At 39.3% G+C, this 21,534-nt stretch overlaps 1 protein-coding gene across 31 annotated transcripts in view, besides 1 other annotated feature; it reads right to left on the bottom strand.

The window, feature by feature from the left end:
* FREM1 (FRAS1 related extracellular matrix 1) overlaps positions 1 to 21,534 on the bottom strand; it is a 173,844-nt gene that overhangs the window by 67,299 nt on the left and 85,011 nt on the right. For 30 of the 31 annotated variants that reach the window (NR_163238.2, NM_144966.7, XM_047422844.1 and 27 more), the window contains 9 exons: positions 20,346 to 20,542; positions 19,575 to 19,665; positions 18,710 to 18,877; positions 14,784 to 14,992; positions 12,328 to 12,421; positions 8,362 to 8,614; positions 3,490 to 3,684; positions 2,211 to 2,396; positions 506 to 702 (listed from right to left, as the gene is read on the bottom strand). Coding sequence is in view for 29 of the 31 variants with exons in the window: in NM_144966.7 (NP_659403.4) it covers positions 506 to 702; positions 2,211 to 2,396; positions 3,490 to 3,684; positions 8,362 to 8,614; positions 12,328 to 12,421; positions 14,784 to 14,992; positions 18,710 to 18,877; positions 19,575 to 19,665; positions 20,346 to 20,542 (1,590 nt within the window). In the remaining 2 variants the exon portion in view is untranslated. The remainder of the gene's footprint in view (positions 1 to 505; positions 703 to 2,210; positions 2,397 to 3,489; positions 3,685 to 8,361; positions 8,615 to 12,327; positions 12,422 to 14,783; positions 14,993 to 18,709; positions 18,878 to 19,574; positions 19,666 to 20,345; positions 20,543 to 21,534) is intronic. The other variant, NR_163239.2, reaches the window with a different exon arrangement.
* Positions 8,082 to 9,281: an enhancer, noted in NCBI's record as "P300/CBP strongly-dependent group 1 enhancer chr9:14812530-14813729 (GRCh37/hg19 assembly coordinates)". NCBI's record gives its function as "activates an origin of replication core promoter dependent on BRD2, BRD4, P300/CBP, MED14 and CDK7 cofactors, with strong dependence on P300/CBP, by STARR-seq in HCT116 cells {active_cell/tissue: HCT116}" and the evidence as "EXISTENCE:reporter gene assay evidence [ECO:0000049][PMID:35650434]".

Consider the following 21,534-nt stretch of genomic DNA (forward strand, 5'->3'; position numbering starts at 1 on the left):
GGCGGGCACCTGCAGTCCCAGCTACTCGGGAGGCTGAGGCAGGAGAATGGCGTGAACCCGGGGGGCGGAGCTTGCAGTGAGCCGAGGTCGCGCCACTGCACTCCAGCCTGGGCGACAGAGCGGGACTCCATCTCAAAAAACAAAAAACAAAAAAACCATGACTACTTCCAGAGAAGAGCAAGGGACAACTTCCCAGTGGTATTATTTCAGAAGCCCCGACCCTAGGCAAGATACAAGACAATGGAGGTAGGTATCGATGGAATCATCTGTAGATTTTTTTTCTCTCTCATAATTACTGAAGGGCTCTCCAGAGAAATCCATGTGCCAACAAAAGAGGAAAGGCAGGAAGATTAATAATTTTCAAATGATTGCATTACATAACATAGCCTTCCCCACTCCTCACCAATGCAATGTGTTAATGCACTTGGAGCAATGTAAATGGACTAATTGAAAATAAAAATCAAAATGATAAAAGAGAAATGGAACATTTGGATATGTTTCTTACAGTAATATTCTGCACTACAAAGTCAGGAGCTTCATCATTTGTGGGGTTGATTATAATAGAAAATGGTATCTCCAAGGAGTGATGCTTCCCATCTGTGACGTACACCGTGAACTGGTCGGCAGTTGGTTCTATCCTCAGATGCCTGGACTGCACATAGTTAATGTGAAAAGCGTTCATGTCTTTCCACTGAAATGAATCTAGAGCACACCAAGATGGAACAGATAAATAAAAAAAAAATTTTTCCAAGTTATTGGTCCTTAATCCTTAACCCAATAATAGTCAATTTCTCAGTAATACAAATAAGAGATCATAGCAGTTGACCTAAGTATCTTGCTATCAAGGGCTGCTACAACAGCCAACCATCAACATAAAGGCAGATATCCACAGATCATACAGAAGAATAAAATTTGCATGGAGAACCGAAGAGTAATACTTTTTAACCAGTATGCACAGGGACTTCAAGAATACTTCAGATACTTAGAATAAATGTCGGAGACCTTCCCTTGATTAAATGACTACTTTTGCATGAATAGTCTCTGTCACACTTGAGTATAAAAAGAGACCACCTCCGTCACGTAAACGCAAAACAAGAGTCAATCAATCATCTGCCTACTTGAAGAGGTACATATCAAGCAAGGTGCTGGATTGAGTGGAATTAGCTAACCTGCTGTTTTAGTATTTTGACATGGGCTTAAATCCAAAGAGAAAATGCTTAAAGATGTGCATTAAGTCACCAGAAAAGCTGAGTAACATTGAATGCAATTAATCTTATATTCAGTCTCTTTCATATTTAAAATGGACATTCTTCAAAAGGGGTTTGGAGAATCATTTATATGTCTTTGGAAGACTTTGTCTTTGCTTTCTGTTTTTGTTTTGGTTGGTCTGTTTTTGCCTGAAATACAAGACCTATTTAAGTATCTGGGACACGTTTTGGCTTTAAAATTAATGTCATCTGCTTCAACATTTCAGGCTTTCTCTCTGTTACACCCATAGTATATTTCCTCACCCTTTCCACCAATATCTATTCAAAATGCTAAAAGGTTGTGAGAATGAGACCTTGTGAGCTCCCGCTAGATTCACTCTCTCATGGTATCCTGTGTTGCTATGAGGGCCTTTTAAACCATTCTTTCTTCAATGTTTATTCTTGTATTTTCCATAAGTAAAATTCCATTTATTTTGAAGTAAATTTGCATGCAAGGGGGAAGTCAGAATAAAAATTTAAATGAAAAATGGTAAGATTCAAAAGCATCAGCTATAATAGTAATAATAATTCATTGAATACATATGGTGCTTTAAACTTTTTTTTTTTTTTTTTTGAGACGGAGTTTCCGCTCCTGCTGTCCAGATTGGAGTGCAATGGCACAATCTCAGCTCACTGCAACCTCTGCCTCCTGGTTTCAAGCAATTCTCCTGCCTCAGCCTCCCAAGTAGCTGGGATTACAGGCATATGCCACCACACCTGGCTAATTTTTTATATTTAGTAGAGAGGGGTTTCACCACATTGGTCAGGCTGGACTCAAACTCCTGACCTCAGGTGACCTGCCCATCTCGGCCTCCCAAAGTGCTGGGATTACAGGCATCAGCCACCACGCCCGGTGCTTTAAACATTTTGAAAGTCCTTACAAAGTTATTAAGCATGACCTGGCCAATCGCTTCCATAAATATAAGGAAGGGAGTCATTGCTGGTGACGAAGCTACAGCTTACCTATACTTATGCCAATATTGCTTTTTTCAAAACCCACAGAAGGGAGTATATTTTCGAGGTAGCCAAACTGAGGAGGAGAAACCAAAACAAATTCCAAGTCATCTGCTGCAGTGTCAGGGTCAGTGGCGGACAAATGGTTAACAGTAAGGGCTGTTGAGCAGCCCTCATCTACAACAAACACGGGACCTGCATACAAATAAAAACACAATTACAACTTAGCATGAAATCCTCTAAACAGACTGGGTAGGACAAAATGCAGTGACTGAAATTCTAGTTCAGAGAAGCCTCCCACGTGCAAAAACATTTCCATGGGAGATGTTCATTTTCTTTGGCATCATTCTCTTTAAAGTGAAAATCTTGAGTGGTAATGAGTGAATTTACTTTGACCTATGGAATTATATTTTTTTCTTGTCCAGGCAAGTCAGAAGATAACAGAAAGCCAGCAGAAATACTAACTGTTCCAGCACAGCCCTTTAGTCATTCTCAAGGAACTCTGGTTTCCCTTGTGTCTCTATGGAAGTGACAAATGAAAGTAAGAATTGCCCAACTGTTTTAATGTTAAGCCACTAAACGTAGTTTATGTACTCTTCAAGATCAGTTGGTACCTCTGTTTGTCAGAGCGTTAATTGCCTGAGAGCTATTATGAATTGCTCATAACGAAGAGTTTTTTCGTGGCTTGATGCTTAATTATTCTGCTGGGATAATGCTTTCTTTCCAGAACACTGCTTGGGAGGTAGTTTGCAAATTACAATAACATTCATACGTATGCTTATATTTTTTTCTGAGAGACAGAACATATACATAATGCCTATGAAAAGATGACTTTCTAAAAAGCAAATAAGGTTAAATGTATATAAATGGTCTCTCCGGTATACTCACTCTGTTCTAATAGAAATTATTATGGATAAAATAAATTACTCTCTCTTCAGCAAGCAAATTACATTTTCCCATGTGAAATAAAATCAGAATATTTGAGGATTGCAATGTTGTCCTTGTCCCAACACACACACAAAGACACACACACACACACACACACACCCCAACACACGTATTCTCTCTCCATACAGAAATATTAAAATTTTTAAACATGTAAATTCTTTTGCCCCATAATCTTAACAGATTTGGGTTTTCCACAAAATTTGTGTTGAGGTAATTATTGAAGGACAATTCCATATGGTGGTTTTCTTTTTAGACTATAAATGAAATGTATTATTTCACTGAACCACAGGTATGACACTAGGTCAGACAATAGTACTGGAACAAAAAAACACATTGTCACCTATTGCAATGGAAGGTGGCTGGTTGTCTACTGGGTATACCGTGATGTTGAGATCATACACTGGAAAGGACGCATGAAGTGGAACAGATGGATTGGGTCCATTGTAGCAACAGCCATTCACAAAAGGGCCAGCCTCTCCATCCGAAACCACCAATGTAATGGTGTCAAAACAAGGCATCAGGCCAATCTCGCCACCTGGAAGACACAACTATAGCTGAAACCTGCCTTTTAAAAAATATAGAATACCAAGATGAAATCTACTCACACCTCTTCTACAAGCATTGAAACAGCAAGGAAAAGAAGTTATGTGGATAAAATAAATGTAAAACCCAATTTTATCACTATGAAATTAAATATAGTCATGAAAATAATGCAAAAATTCTTGCCCATCTGTTGCCTCTGGTGAACTCCCTACTAGCCATCTATCATGATAAGGAGGGACAAAACTGGGCCAACAAGGGTCTGACAGTTTATGAATGAGCAAGGGCACAAAGCTTCACTAGTGAAGGTTTCATTCTTCCCTTATAATCATTTCATGTTATGACCAACCTCAGGGAGAGGGAGAAGGCAACCTTTTCCCTTTGGTAAGTGTCTTTCCATTTACATTAACCACCTTAAATGAACAACCATCAACCACAGAGCAGTTATGAGAAACGAGGATGTTGAATAGGTGAAATACAAAAGTAGGCCACATTTTTGCCATTTCTTTCAATATTCTTCTTATTATATATTAGCCAGGATGTTTTTAAAAATAGCAACAGTCTGTGGAAAAGAAGAGGCATTTATTTTCATTTTCTTCTTTTCACTGTTTAGGTCTTACATCTGTAGGATTCAAAATGTCCCCAGTTTAGACAGTGACAGGAAGAAGGAACAAAATGTCAGGATTAGACAGTTTATCAGCAACAGGGCAATCTGCTCTTGGGTTACCCACTAAGAGCGTGGAGTAAGAGTGCTTGCTATCCAGGACACAGAAAAGTTTTGCACATGTGCTGTTGGTAATTCTCATGCATCACCATGAAAATCTCAAGAAGGCAGTGATACGGTTTGGTTGTTCCCCCGCTCAAATCTCATCTTGAATTGTAACTCCCACAATTCCCACATTTCGTGAGAGGAACCCAGTGGGAGGTGACTGAATTTATGGGGGCAGGTCTTTCCTGCGCTTTTCTCATGATAGTGAATGAGTCTCATGAGATCCAATGGTTTTAAAAATGGGAGTTTCCCTGCACAAGCTCTCTTTGCTTGCTGCCATCCATGTAAGAGGTGACTTGCTCCTCCTTGCCTTCTGCCATGATCATGAGGCTTCCCAGCCACATGGAACTGTAAGTCCATTAAACCTCTTTCTTTTGTAAATTGCCCAATTTCGGGTATGTCTTTATCAGCAGCCTCAAAATGGACTAATACAGGGAGGAATTAATGCTTGGAGTTTTGATGAACCTAGGGTACAAAAGATCAGGGACATCCTCCCTTTTCAGCAGACACTCTGGTCAAATCTGCAGAGCTCTGTGGTTGCCATTATTTCCCGTTTAAAAATGACAAGGAAAATCTAGAGATTATATTATTGAGCAACCAAGTGTTCAAAGGATGAGAAAACTGGGCTTAAAAGGAAAAACCGAATTGAAGTTGAGAGAATTAGAAAGAAACAATCAGCCGTCAATGTGAGAAAGAGTCAAAAATAAGAGACCTCTCACCTATTCATATATCTAAAATGCAAACTGGCTTAAAAATGTGTTCATTAGTAATTCACTCAGTAAATATTTATTCAACACCTACTGTGTGATAATTAGTGTTTCCAGCACACCAGCAGAGAAAAAGGCACACATTTTGGAACTTTCAAAAGACATTTCAAAAGAATGTCAAATGTCAAAAGACCACACTATGCGTCAGGCACCGATACTGTCTAATGGTAGAGAAGGAAATGCAGTGTGGTTAGAATAGCACAGATGTATGTATGTATGTATGTATGTATGTATGTATTATGTAGAATCACATGAAATTGCTACTATTAAACCATTTTTTACCTGTTAAATGGCAATTTTATGTATTCCGGCCTGATCGTGTGCAAGGTGCTGAGGGTGAAAGAAGATGAGTTTTAGCTGACAATGGCGTAGGGGCAGGGCATACGTGCCAAGGAAAGTCAGCAAAGTTTCCAGATGCCTTTGCTGGCTTTGTGCTGAGCATTAAAGGATGAGTAAGAGTTTGCCAAGCAGATAAGGTAGAACATTGGGACAGATGGGATAGAAGATCTGTAGGGAGAGGCAATGGGGGAGAGAAATGAAAAGTCACTCTAGAAAGAGAAGACAGCTTTAAAAACAGAGAAGGCAAATTGCAAATTGAGTAACCACAATTTCTCTATAATGGAAGCATAGGATATATTTACAGAAATAGCTGGGAAAGCAGGCCAAATATTAAGCCACTAAAAAGCCTACAACATAGGTAGTGAAATTCTTTACCTTGAAATGGAATATAGCCTAAGGACATGATTGGTACTTAAAAATGTTAATCATAGTGTTATTAAAAAAAAATTTGAGGGAAGACAGGGTCTCACTCTGCTGCCCAGGTTGGAGTGCAGTGGCATGATCTTGGCTTACTCTAGGTTCCACCTCCTGGGCTCAAGCGATCCTCCTACCTCAGCCTCCAAGTAGCTGGGACCAGATAATGTTAATTGGGGAATAGCAAATTATTAATGGACTTTCATATAGTAAGATGTTATTCTATTACTAAAACATCTTTATAATAACTTTCTAACATTTAATATATATTTTAATAAACATTTCAGGTGATAATCTAAATGATAAAAGTAATCTGCAAAGCTGCATATGTTACAACATAATTGCAACTATGTTAAAATTATGGCCAGAATAAAGAGAATAAAATACTATAATACTGAAATGTGAACAGTGACTCTTTTAGATATGTAATAAGGTGATTTTTAAAAACTTCATTGTACTTTTCCATTCCTTCCAAGTTTTCTGCAATGAGTGTGTATTATTTTTATACTTATAGAAAGCAAATAAAGTAATGCTAATAAAATTATTCTTAGGTGGCCTCTAAATCAACACGTAGAAGCAAGAGAAGGGCCAGAAAACTCACTGAAACCTCAGATCCTACAATGCTGTGATTCTTTATCCTGATCTCAGCCCAGGGCTGGGTAACTACCAATTGAATAAGTGAGTAATCATTACAAGAAAACGTTAACATTCAAATACCAAAATACCCTTTGAATCGAGTATTCCTTCTAACTTAGTAACATAACCAAAAGCCGTCTATTTGAAATAATTTGCCCCAATGTCCTACTGGGTTTTATTTTAAAAAAAATTAGTTAATAGTCCCGTCTATGGCTGCTACACTACAGGAGATTTAGAAATTTGTATACCTGTTGTTTAGCACTTAGAACAAGGCACTGGAAAAGAAGACAGATTCTTCTCACCCCTAATTTACCTGTGCTGCATGAGCCTGCCAGAGATGTTAAATAATTAAGCAATAAATAACAATCATTGGTCTTTGGATCCCTTTTCTGCCAGTCTATTTCAGATCCACTGGGGAAATCAAAAATGAGTACCTAGTGGTGAACTCCTGAGGGACATCAAACATACGAACTACGCTCCTCAGGACAAGGTAATCACCCAGGAAAGCTTTCCTAAGACTAAACACAGATAAGAGGATAGAGAGATACCATTTAAAGAAAAAAGATGTCTGGTGAAGTGATTAAAATGTCCCGAGACATCTGGTGTTCCAATAAATCACTGTTTTCCAAAGTATATAGGACAAATATTATTTCAGAATGTTTTCTCCCATTTCTGAATTAATCCTTTGCTATCTCCATCCCTCCTCCTTGAATTTATTTCATGCCTCACTGCTTGAATCTCTTCAAATAAGAAAATGATTTGAATTCTGAAAGTTCTTATTTCCTATACCACTCACCTGGCCTTACATACTTGATCATACTTCCTGCATTGGAACTTGCAGTTTAAAGAGGCATATGGATGAGTAGACAGGAAATTGCACTACAGTACAGCAAAAGCCAGCAGATGAAATATGCAGCATTGTTACCAAGGAAGTTTCCCCAACCCAGACCTCAGAAGATGTGCAAGGTGAGATGATGTGATGATGTGCAGTGTGTCAGTGTCAGTCACACTGTCATCTTTGCATGCAAATGGGTTTTGTCTACCCATTTAAGTTCAAAGTCTTTCATAGCAGGGTCTAGGTCATATTCCTGTGTACCCCACAGTGCTTAGTGCTATAAGTTACAGATATCAGATGTTGAATTAATATTTTTTAGTGGAACAAATGCCACCTGGGTGACAACATAAAGCAATGCCAAAAATGTAACTGCAGTGCTAATAAATGAACATTTTCTGTACATCTAACCTGTGTTCACGCTGTCATTTGCTGTGGGCAAGTCATATACTGGGTAAGACATTATCGTTACTTTTCAGGAACTCAAAAAGCAGACCAGTTGCTTCTTAGGAGCTAGGTGGTGATCAGTAAGCTTTGCAAATTAATAATGTAATTACCTTAGGAGCTTGCTTCAGGCATTTCTGTCATGATTTATAGACCCACCAACTACGATGATCAAACTGACCAAAAACGCTAAGGAGAATCATAGGGTGAATGGAAGGTCTGTGTGGTAGCGTCAGGAACAAAGCAAGTAATATCTGCCTTTCTCCGCTGTTTGAAATTCGTTATAATAACACAATCAGAAATACTTCCATATATGGTGATCATGCTGGAAAAATGGAGGCCAGGCTGCAGCTGCTTCTTGTTTTTAATGGAAGTAACCATTCTGACTGTTTGATTATGGGAGCCCACACTGAGGAGTGGAGACTCTCATGTTGCTTGCATTCCCTCACTGGTCACCATGCTGCTGCTTACCTGTGTGTTTGTATGTCACGGCCTCTGAGATAACATCTCTCTGAGAGAACTGATCCACTGTGACTCCAGCTCTCCTCACCACCCCATGCTGAGGTTCGCGAGCAATCACAAACATCAACTTCAAGTTATCGCTGTCCACATCAGTAGCAAAAATGTATTCAGAGGTGATGACCACCTCTCCTCCCTCTGAGCAATTCATGACAGGCATGAGGTCAGCCTTTAAGACTGGTGGCTCATCGTTGACAGGGAATACCTAGGCAATGGAAAAAATGCATGTTTTCAGAAAAAGAAAGAAATGACAAATTCTTTGACAGGTAATCCATTGCTCATAGTCAGAATGACAGGCATTTTCATCTTACAGACACATGAAACAACAGCCGTGAAATTTGGCCAAGTAATCTGTGTCTTTTAACTTTTCCCATGTAAACCATCTTGCAAGAAATGCCCCATGTGACAGACATTTTAGGTAGGAATGGGGGAATATGGTTATGGTTCAGGACTCAAAACTCTCATTTGTTTCTAGACAGAAAAAATACAAATGTAATATAAGGCATTCTTCACCAAAGCCCCTATCCTCTTTCATTAAACTCACACATATTCCAGAAGAATTCTGGTCCTTGTGGTCCAAGGCATTTTCATTTACTGCATCAAAGTTATTTTTGTTTCAAATTACTTGGTGATTACAAAGCTTTCCTCCACCCTCAACTTCCTGCCACCCAGGAAGTTTCTCTGGACTTATAATAAGCAGCAGCTGCATTTCAAACAGTTTGAGTTAAATATGAAACTCCGTAACTATTCAATCAATGCCAGGTTTCATCCCGACAAAATGTTTTTCTCTCACTTTCACGAAAATAAAACTCCAAGTAAAAAGGAAAGAAAAGCGACATGGGATCACGCTGGCACTCTAAATTTAAAAAGATCGTGTAGAAATCTGGAAAAGCATATCTTCTAAAAGGGAGTGAGGACAACCCCCCTCTGAGTTCACAGCCACAACTTGGTGTGTGCTGCAAGGCTGCCACGTCTGCCCTGTGAATCCTCTCAACCCTACACCTTCTTCCCTAATGCTCAGCCAAAGTGATCTTTTTAACGTGTGGACTTTAAGTCACTGCCTTTCGGAGACCTTCAGTGGCTTCCCATTGATTCTGCTAGTATTTCTCTGGCCTTATCCCATGCTATGGGGTGCCTTTGCCACTCCACTCCAGTTTTATCCCGACACACATTCCCCACCATCACAGGGTCTCTGCATCATCTCTCTCCCCACTGCCCACGTCTCTTCCCCCTGGGAATTCTGTCCCCAACTCTTTGCTTGGTTAACTCCTCCTTCAGGTTACATGGGGATTCCTCAGGAAATCCTTCCTTAACTATTCAGCTAATTTAGGGGCTTCTATTATTTACTCTATTTTAGCATCCTATTTACGTATAGAACCATCTAAATTTTAATCAATTAATTATCTTGGTGATAATCTGTTTAATGCCTGTCTTCATCCCTGGCCTGTGACCTCTAGAAGAACAGTGACTTTGTTTGTCTTGTTCATCATCATATTCTAAATATCTGGCCTAAGGCTTGGCAAAGAAAGCACTTATTAAATATTTGCTGAATAAATGAATGAGTGAATGCAACTATGTATATGTGTCCTGACTACCTTGTTATTTAAACAGGCTAAAACTCTAAAACAAATATACATGAAATTTAATGGATAGAGGAATGGGTAACAAAAGCTCCAGGCTAGTTATTTAAAGACTTTAAAAGCCTATAATATTCTCTACTTTTCTATTGGCTTATTAAGAAAAAACCATCTTTGTTCAAGTCCCCTGAGTGAATTCATTTAAGACCTTCTCCAGTATTGTTCTTGACCCTGAGGAATATCACCAACAAATTCAGTGATGACCATCTTGCAGCCGTTCACAAAAGAGTCTCAGCTTTCAAATGAATAATAAAGTCCAAAGGCAATAGAATTAAGAATATTCCTTCTGGGTAAAAAAAAAATCACAAACACTTGTCAAAAAATTGGCTGTGCCTCTGTTTGGCTTTTAAAGACCATCCTCTTGTGTTTAAAAAGAAACAATAAACAGATTGTTTTCCCAAAATGCACTGCCTATTGTCATGGATGGAAGATAGGGTTGGGGTTTTTTCCCCACAAATTTGCTTTTCAGACAAAAAAAGTAACTCAGAAAGTTTTGTCTCTCTGTAAGTCTGCCAACAAAGAAAACTGTCCTTTTTGAAGCTGCAATAACATACTGCTCTTTATTCAGATCCCAAAGGCCATTATGAGGACTAAGTGGGAAAACGAAAGGAAGAGATTGCCTTGTTCCTGGCATAGAGAGGTGCACAGGAACTACTGGCCAGTATGATCATTATAATCACCTAGTGATGTAGAAGTGTGGCAGGGTGAGGAGGAAAGAACACTGACCTAGGTAACAAAGAGTGGAGATGCCAGCCCAAGACTACACTGTCTAGTCAATGATTTTGGGCAAGTCATTGAACCTTCTTGTACCTAAATATCCTTAGCTATAAAATGGGGATAACTCCTTCACTGCTTCTTAAAATTATAGATGTGAACATCCTTTATTAGTTACTAAAATATCTTACAAAGACATTATTACCAATATAGTAATGAGTTCATATCACAAAGATCTGAAAAATTCCAACAGAAAGAAAAATAATCTAGAACAATGAAAATAATTAGTGGCTCTTCAGGGAACATGGTATATTTTTCTTCAGACCTTCTTTTGTTACCAACTATAAATACCTGCAAATCCTCTGAGTTATGCTCTTGGACTTGCATGCCACTCAACAAAGAAATTCAGGGGGTTCCTGTAAGTCCCTTGGGCATGCATTCAAATTGTTTTTTTTGAGTCAGAGTCTCGCTCTGTTGCCCAGGCTGGAGTGCAGTGGCATGATCTCGGCTCACTGCAACCTCTGTCTCCCAGGTTCAAGCGATTCTCCTGCCTCAGCCTCCCAAGTAGCTGGGACTACAGGTGCAAGCCACTATGCCCAGATAATTTTTGTATTTTTAATAGAGACAGGGTTTCGCCATTTTGGACAGGGTGGTCTTGAAATCCTGACCTCAAGTGATCAGCCTGCTTTGGCATCCCAAAGTGCTGGGATTACAGGTGTGAGCCACCTTGCCCGCTCTGCACTCGAATTTTATGTGCAGATTTTTCATTTGTCAAGAGGGGGAAATATGATTAAATCCTCATGCTAGGACTATATGGTACAGGAACTCACAAAGAGGCACCACACACACATATACATGGCTTTATCTGTAAACAGGAAAACCCCAGTGATACTAGCCTAACCTGCCCCACTGCTAAACAAATATTTCTGAGTTTTATAGTTCAAAGATATTAGAAATAATTTATACATAGAATAAATTACTTTTAAAATTAAATATCTATGTTTGAAGTCAGAGTAATTCTACCTCTAAATAGATTAGAGAGAGACAATAGCATAGTACTACTACTTCATCATTACAACTTTGGTTTCTATTGGCAGGCCTGAGACATACAAGGATCGAAGCAGGTATCCTCTCACTTTGGAGGCCGTAGGTTTCAAGTTCTGTCAGGACCTGAGAGTTTTCCAACAAGATCCTCTATGTCTGTATGATTGCTATGATTTTAATGTGTCCCCAGAAAAGCATGCATTGAAAACTTGCAACAGTGTTGGGAGGTGGGAGGTTTATAGGTCATGAGGGCTCCACCCTCATGAATGGATTAATGCTGATCATAAAAGGCTCATAGCTCAGTGTCTGGCTCCCTCTTGCTCTTTTTCTGCCCTTCCATCATAGGGTGATGCAGCAAGAAGGCCCTCACTGGATGCAGCTACCCAATCTTAGACTTCCCAGCCTCCAGAGTCATGAGCCAAATAAATTTCTTTTCATTATAAATTACCCAGTCTGTAGTATTGTGTTATGGCAGCACAAAACAGACTAAGACAATAACCCAGGGAAGAAACTTTCTACCCACCTCAACATGTAGTACAAATTCTGCTGAATTTGTGCCATCGGTGACCTCCAAGAGTAGGTCATCCTGAAGAACTTCAGTTCCATCATGTTGATACCTGTGGGGATAATATTTGTCACCAACCTCTTAGGAACAGTGTGAGAGTAAATTGAGATGCATGATACATGAGCTCTTCCAAGGCTTTGGCCATGTGTTCACTAAATAAATAAATAGCAACAACAACAACAACAAAAACCCAGCATAATCCTGAAGTCACATATTTAACTACTCATACATCCTTGAATGTAAAATTGCTCCACCCTGGAAAAATGTGTTATATGCATTTCTAATTTGTCCTCAAATTAAAAAGCAGCCCTTCAAATGCCACTGTGACAACAGGAACCATTTGGTATAGGTCTGTACGCTTGCAGAATACACTGACTAGGGCCAGGAGAACCCTCAGACTGAGCAGTAGATGAGGAAAAGTGGGACACTGTGGATTTGATCTTTTTCTCCCCTTTTCTACTTCTAAGGCTAGGCTAATCCTTCCGCCTGTGCTCTGGATCTATTCAGCTTTTCTCTAAAACCTTGATCAATGAATTATGTATTGCCTCTTTCCTGTCATTTCTCCTCTTCCATTGACTAGCTATCTTCCTCTCAATCTATATAAATTCTTAAATCTCTTAGACTTAAAAAATACCTTTCCTTTGTCTAGCCTTAGCCCTATCTTCCACTAATTCTCAGCCACATTTCTTGAAGGCATTGTCTAATTATAGGCCCTCCACATACTCTCCAGCCCATTGCAGTGATGCTTGGAAAGTTCTAAGGAGCTGCTGAAGTGAATTGAGCCAAATTTTAAACATATCAATGAGTCCTAGGAATGGAAAATAAAAGTTGTATTAAAAAATAATATAATATATTGAACATGTATAATCTTTAACTATGGGGAAAAAGTCAGAGCTGAAAGGTATTTTACTGAGGACTAGTTTCACCCATAGGCAGGGTAGGAACTGAGGTTGAGGATTCCCTTCCTATGGTGGGGAAGTCCCACATCCTCCCCACCCTCCATGATCCTCTCACGCACTACCCGCTATGCTTTATTTTGCCATGCTCCCTGCAATTTTCATCAAAACTATATTGGTGAGTGATAATTCTTTTTTACTAATTCTATTTTACTATGCTAAAATCCCTAAAAGGATCAAATGGCCCTAAGAGTACACATCCAAAGGATGACTGGAGTCAAACAGATATTCTTTCAAAATCTGACCCCTCCATATACTAGCTGAATGAACTTGGGCAAATTCCTCAATCTCTTTGTGCTTAGTTCTTCAATTAAAATATGAGAATGGATACCTTGTCAGACTTGATTACTATGCAGATTAAATTTTCAAAAACCATAATTGTAAGCCTCTGACAGTATGCTTGAACAGATAGTTCTAGCAAATATTGGTACTGTTTATCCATCATTCACTCCGTAGCAAGAATTACCTAAACAGGGCTCTCTATCTAACAGACAGCTGAGAGCTGAAATCTCAAAAAACATTTTTTTAACAAGGATAGGAGTGCGAGTGCAAAGATCAAGATATCGTGGACTGTAAATCAATGGTGGAACTAAACTGTCAGGATTAAACTCATCTTCTTCTGTACAAATCTTAGTTTCTGGTCAACTTTCTAGTCAAGTGCAGAGCTAAGCATCTGATGTATAATATCTCCTATCATACTTTATCTAAAGGGCTAATGCTCCCATTTATAGCTTGAATTTACAGGTGAGAAGTGAGTGTGTGGGTCTACCCGACCATTGCTTTTGAATAGCTTGTATTGTTTTCCAGAGAAGTTGTTTCACTAGATTTTGTAGGAAAGTTTCTTACAGAACTGCATTAGGTAGAGGAAATGAAAGACCTTCAGGTAAGGGCAGTTTCTCTAGGACCATGAGGCCAGGGATTGTGCCATCCCTGTTGGAGACTCAAGTATTAGTTTACGCCCTGCCTACTCAGCTCACCCTGCTTGTTTGCCTGCAGATCCCTGCCCTAGTAGAACGGAATAAGGTTACATTAAGGACATTGATCAACAGAGTTCTATCCCAGAGTTTCTGGGTTATGAAATTTGCTTCTCTGGGACACAAGTTCAATTATGTACATTAGCCTCACAGATTATTTCAGTCTCTCTTTATCTAGTTTGACTATTACCTCCTGTGATATGTGCAGTTACTGCCAATTTAATATTCACGGCAATTAAATTTTTATTGTTCAAATATCCATAAAGTTATTTCCACTGGTATAGCAAGTCAGATGGAAATAAAATGTCTGGAGGGAAAGGAAAAATTGATCATTTGTAATTTTCAACTGACCCGTTGAGTGTGTTAAGTGGCATGTTGGTATCCTTTAAGAAATTGGACAAACTTCTTTCTCTTACTCTGCCTCACAACTGATCTAGATAAGAAACTAAAGCATGTAAATAAAAAAACCATGAAATGTTCTAACCTAACTTTTAAGGTATGGAGATCGCCCCAAGAAAATGTGCCCCCTGAATTTAGAGGAAATCCATTCAGCTCCACCCTTCCGTGCAGAGGCAATTCCCGCAGGGAGAGGTCAATATTGTCCAGCTTGGTATCTGCATCAGAAATTAGAATGTGCTCTGTGCTGATGATGCTTTGACCTCCCTCAGTCACTTTCAGAGGGTTGGTGAACGCCTAGAAAGAAGAAAGGAAGGAAACATTCAAAGCCTTTTTCCATGACCCCTGAAGACAGAGCTCATTACATCACTGTAAAACTTCCAGTATTATCTTCACATGCAAACTAATTTTTCAAGAATGTGGTAAGAGGATAAGTTCATAGCTAGACATTTTGACTGAAAAATTTTTTTTTACTATTTCTAATTCTAAGCATTAATGTGTTACAAGGAAACAAGGCAGATCTCTAAGATTGAAAGTATCTACTTTTCATTTATTGCATAGCCTGTATAGTAGAATTGGCAATCATTACTATCTGTGCTGCTAAACTGAGGAAATAATAATTTTCATCCTCAGGTCCATTCCCATCACTGTTCAATACACATACAGCTTAGTCTAAAAAATACACAAAATCTATGTCAAATTCCCCTGAAGGAAAGGTTTCATCTACTTTTCATCCTAAAAATTCTTAAAGGCTTGGGAAATGGATTGGAGCTTTAGAACTTCAGTCACAGTGAATATTTTAGAAATGGAAGTAGTGTGGCAAAATTGAAGATTCCAGAGGAAATAGATTTATTCAAACATTAGACTTAAATATTAAAGCCACAAAGATAATTTGCTATAATAGAAAAACTCACTGCTCGACTAATAATTCATTTGTAAGTTAAAAGCAAGTTGAATGGCTTGGGATATTTTATCACCTCATTGGGAGGGAGCAATAAGTGTTCTATGGCCAAATAAGTCTAGAAAAAAGTTACATAAAATATCCTTACCATGGAGGTTTATAAGGGACATAAGCATATTCAAGGCTCTGAGATCCTGCAGGAGGAAAACCTGCTAACTTTGTTTAACCTATCATTACCCCCACGCTTGTATTGCTACGCAGAAGTGAAAGCAAGCAGATACAGTGGGGTACCAAATCACGGGCTCTGAGGACCCCTCCCAGGTGGTCTAGTAAGGTGCCCTGTCCATGGGAGGATGCAGCAGTTCTCCTAGGAAGCACCTACTCTTCTCAGAGCAGCTGCTGGTCCCAGCAGGGAGGATGTTCCCTGAAGAAAGAGCTGGTAAAGGAGGATGACAACAAATTGGAAGAGGAAAGGGAAGGAAGCAAGTGAAGCTGCAGCCTCTGCTCAAGAGCCTGCTGTGTCCTTCTGGACACCACGGCACAGTGCTGGTACCAACTCCAGGCCACAGCCACCTGGGGCATTCATGGTGCCACAAGGGCAGCCCCTTGCATCATGGAAATTATGAGACCTACAATTCTGAGACCACTGCCTTCTATTCTTTAATCAACTACCAATGCAAAAACATAGACTTCTCTCCCTACAACTACCCCCACCCTGACCTCTCCCAAGTGTCTCACTTTCACTTTGCTAAACCTATATTTTCACTGTTTGTAGGAGAAAGAAAGAGAGGGAGCTCTTACTCAGAGAGGAGTGTTGTCTTCGAACAAAGGTCCATGCTTGCCAACCTCATTTTTCTGAGCTGTATTGAATTAGTATCCCAATATGGAATCTTCAATTTCCAATGTTTCAAGGAATATGCTTTGCTACATTAGGTGATTTTTTAAATATATATTTTAGGGCAACTTTCAAAAAAATAAAAGCATAAGGCTAATTTCCCCCGACTCATTAGTCATTAGCTTTTTAATTCTTGCCCAGATCCAGTGCTCAGGTTTCTGGGACTCAGGTTAGCATGGTGTCAACATCCTCCCGTGGTTATCACTTGGCCAGCTCTCTGCAGGAATTCTACATAAGGGATCAACTCCTGTGGTGGGTCTCACTGAAGCTGCTAATTTAATTTTGTTTCTAATATCCTCAGCTTTTTGAGGGACTATTTCATTTGCCCCATATACTGTAAAAAGTAAAAATAAAAAAAAAGAGAAGCTACCCTGCCATTCTTTCCTCAACTCCTCAAAACTATTCAGTGAAATTAACTTTTTTCCTTTACACTTTTTAGTTTCCTTCTCAGATCATCATTCTCCATCAAGAGGCTTGAATAACTTTGCATAAAGGAGCATTTCTCCATGATTGTTTTAGAGAAAACTTTGGCTTCTTTAGTGCTAGGCTATTTGATGGCCTGTATCTCATACATAGAAAAGAATGGTCTGAATAAAATCTAATCAAGTTGACTCCATAAGCATTCTAAACTATTTCACCACCGGGAATATGATCTGGTCCCTGATAGGAAAGGTGTCAAAGAATGGAGTTAGTTTAAAATCCTCCGTGTGAGCCCTTTGGCAGGTTTTCTACCAAAGATGGCAAGTCCACAGGTGTGGGAGGTCAGGCCAGTGATAGAAATAAGTGTGGTGAGTTGGATGGGGGCTTAGATGGTCTGGAGAGCACGCCCTATGCAATGGCTGCTGTAGGGTGTGCGGGTTAAATTTTATTAGATCTGCCAGAGTTTCAAGGGAAGCTAGGAATCAGCCTTGATGGAAAATCTTCTGATCTTTAAATGTTGGCAATTCATTATTTTCATATATTGTTTTGACCTCTTCACGTGGTTTGGCCATGTCCCTACCCAAATCTCACCTTGAATTGTAATAATCCCCATGTGTCAAGGATGGGGCCAGGTGGAGATAACTGAATCATAGGGGCAGTTTCCCCCATAGTATTCTCATGGTAGTGAATACATCTCACAAGATCTGATGGTTTTATAAATGAGAGTTCCCTGCACAAGTTCTCTTGCCTGCCACCATGTAAGACGTGACTTTGCTCCTCATCCCCCTTCTGCCATGGTTGTGAGGCTTCCCTAGCCACGTGAAACTGTGAATTCATTAAACCCCTTTCCTTTGTAAATTACCCAGTCTCGGGTATGTCTTTATTAGCAGCGTGAGAACAGACTAATACACCCATCAAAACTTCTGCAGGTTGGGCAGCCCTTTTAGGCCCTCAGGGTAAGACCTCTGCCCCACAACCTTGGGCAGGTATAGAGATGATGAGGAGTCAGGAAAGAGAACGCCAGTGCAGGCTATAGTCCAAGTAGGCACCCGGGAAAGTGACCTCTTTCCTTAAGGATGAGGCATGTGTAGGCTCTGGTCCCTTCTGGTTGATAATGAATGGGTAATGCTATTTTGTCTTCCTGCTTTTAAGGGAAATAATAAGAATAATAATGACCATACTAATTAAGCCTAGCATTGTGAAGGTGGGCAGGGGAACCGGGTAGGTATGGGACATACTCTCAATGCAAATCCCAGCTTCCCAGAAAAAATGCACAAGGTAGCAATGCCTTTGTAGTTCGGTTTTAATGAAAAGACCCAAGTCCTTTCAGGCTTACACAAACACAGGGCAGTGGGGCAAAGTATGACAGAAGGGTCCATCTTGATTCATTTTGGAAAATTAAAGAGCTTCTTTAGATTACAGAGCAGCATAGTTGGGCTGCAGTGAGGGTAAATAAGCCCTTCCAGTGGCTAAGAGACCCATAATTTAATCCCCTTCCCTTGATCAACACGTGAAACTCAGCAGAAAGAAGAGGAAGTGAAAAAGAATTTGATAAAGCTTTGAAAATAATGTTAAATTTAGTAGCTGAAAAATCTCACCTTTTACATAGAAAGTCCCATGGGAGTAAAAGACTCCCTTCTCCCTGCTTTTTTCTTCTTTTTTTTACTACACCATAGATGGAAATTTCTTTTATAAGTTTAAAAAACTAGCCTAAAGGAAAGTTACCATTTCTAGTAGGTCTTCAAGTCTCTCCTTTCTTTTCCTCCTTTTCATCCTCTATATAGAACATTGTACATACCTCAGGAACTTGATTGTCCACTGGGAGGATTGTAATGTTAAAGCAGATCCCATGCAAAGTACCGCCATGTTGGTTACTGACAGAAAATGTGAACTGGACATCTCTGCAATGGGGACCAATGTCTTGCATGGGGGGCATGTAGGCCACTTTCATATAGTTCACAGCATGCTGCAAAGTAAGTTGAGATGGATATGTGGGTGCTGACTTGCAAGGATCAAAAGCTTTTAGAGGTCCAAGAGAACCATCATGTTAATTGATATTGAACACTGTAAATGCCACCATCATCACTTTGAAGATTACCAAAAGCTCTATTTTTACTTCAATGGCAAAAACTGCAATAACTTTTGCATCAAACTAATAGAAGCAAGGAAGAATTCTCCTACAGGGTTTCAGAAGGAGCATGGCCCTGCCAACACCTTGATTTAAGACTTCTAGCCTCCAGGACTATGAGAAAATAAAGCTCATAGTCCTTTATGTCCTGGCAGTTTATTTTAAACCACCCAGTTCATGGTATATTGTTGTCAGCCCTTGGAAACTAATACAGTAAGATACTGAATAAACTGAATTTTGTGGAATAAAAACGTATACACCAGATACCCAAACTAGAGTCCTGCTGATGGCAAAACAATACAAAAGTCTGTTTTCAGTAAAATTACTGAAAAGATTGTGAAACCATATTCAACTTGATCAAGTACTTTGAAATAGATGCCACACACTTAATGGAAACATACAAGTAGCAAGTATAAAGATGTCAAGTCTTTGTGGATGTCAAAGACCAACATTCTCAGGCACAATACTAGGCATGCCATACCTTCTAAGGGCACACTTGCATCATGTTTGTCAGCATTTTAGCATATCCTCATACCTGAGTGAATGACCTCAGCTCCAGGGCCGTAGGATTCTTAACTACTTTTGGTATGCTGTCCACCATAAATAATTTCCCAGCATCCAAGTGTCTAAAGAGAAATACAGAGGAGCACATCAGCTCATTTTTAGGTAAGAAAAATGAAATCGAATAGCCCACAATCAAAAACTGAAAGACTTCATTGTGAGAAGAAATTGGGTGCTCTATCTTTATATTCTCTCTTTATGTTGGGAGATTCTAGCATTAAGTCCAGTTTCATCAACATCATCCTTGTCATGACTGCAAAAGGTATGTACAGAATCTTTTGCTTGGCATCATGTAAGGGAATTGTTACACTCATGTTAAAAATGGTTTCTTGCTCTCATGCATACGATACTAGCATAACGTATATTCATGCCATTTTTCTAGATTGAGATCATAGAATGTAACGATTTCATGGCAGTAATATGCAAAACTAATGTTAGGAAGACCTCAATAAATTGTACTAAAAGAAAAATAAGCATTGTCTTTCAAAAAGTGGATTAAAGACTGTTTTAAGCCTACCAATGCTGAAGACACTACAAGCTGCAGATCACTTACCAACTAATACAGCTTTCAAAGGGAGATAGGAAGTTGTTTGAGAAAAAAGTAAACGCTTAATTGAGTATAATTTCATGCCTGACCAATGGAGCAAGTAAACCACAGTACTATATATATATATATTGCTCTATATTGACACTTTCAACTTTGCAATCCTAGAACTAGTAGCCCAAATGGTGACTTTTCAGATACCTGTGGCTGAAGGAGAAAAATGGAGGAGTAGTTATTGTGTAGACCAGCTCCCTGTCATATGATTCTGAATCTATAAAATGTAGCTGTTTCTTAGTTATATAGGCCACCTCAGTTTCCTTGACAACCAAATGCCGAGAAACTCCAGGAGCCTCTTTTGGAAGCTGGTCATCCACTGGAGTTATATGGATTGTTGCCACCTGGAATAAAAATGTCTGTACCATTAATTTGAAATACCAAAAAAACAACAAAGAAAATGCCCCACAATCACCTAGTCACAGTTAAGATAATTTCTAAAACTGTCATTTATAATATACTTCTGTCAAATGATTCAGGAGCTATTAAGAATATGAGCCAAAAAATGGAAATCCTCTACTCATTTAATATTATATTTTAAGAATATTATTATCACAGGCCAGGTGCAGGGGGTCACCCCTGTAATCTCAGCACTTTGGAAGGCCGAGGTGGGCAGATCACCTGAAATCAGGAGTTCGAGAACAGCCTGGCCAACATAGTGAAACCCCGTCTCTACGAAAAATTCAAAAATTAGTTGGGTGTGGTGATGGGTGCCTGCAATCCCAGCTACTCGGCAGGCTGAGGCAGGAGAATCACTTGAATCCTGGAGGAGGAGGTTGCAGTGGGCTGAGATCACGCCATTGCACTCCAGCCTGGATGACAAGAATGAGACTCCATTTCAAAAAAAAAAAAAAAAAAGTATATATATACATACATATATATATATATGTGTGTGTGTGTATATATATATATATATATATATACCACAATTATAGTGAATCCAGTCATGAGTGCTACAGAATGGGCACATAAAACACAAAATATGTTCCTGGTTTTATTTTTACATCTCTCTTCTACCAACAACCTGTGCTTTCTTTAATACTTCCCTATATTCAGTCATCAATCTTAGAAACCTTGACATGAATTTTGGTTCCTCCTTCTCCACCCACATATAACACATCACCAAGTCCCAGACTTTCTACTTATAAAATTTCCTATGCAGTGACCATACTCCACATCCCACGCCCAAGTGTCATTCCCATTGCTACTGGCCTACCTTTCATAATTTCATCCTTACATTATTGCAACTGCTGCCTGTTAGCCCTAAATCCAAGAGCTAATCTAGACTTTTCATACCTCGTGTTATCTTCAAAAAAGTACAAATGAAATAAGTTAA

The sequence above is a fragment of the Homo sapiens genome, chromosome 9 (assembly GCF_000001405.40).
Source record: "Homo sapiens chromosome 9, GRCh38.p14 Primary Assembly".
In the NCBI taxonomy this organism is placed as follows: Eukaryota; Metazoa; Chordata; class Mammalia; order Primates; family Hominidae; genus Homo; species Homo sapiens.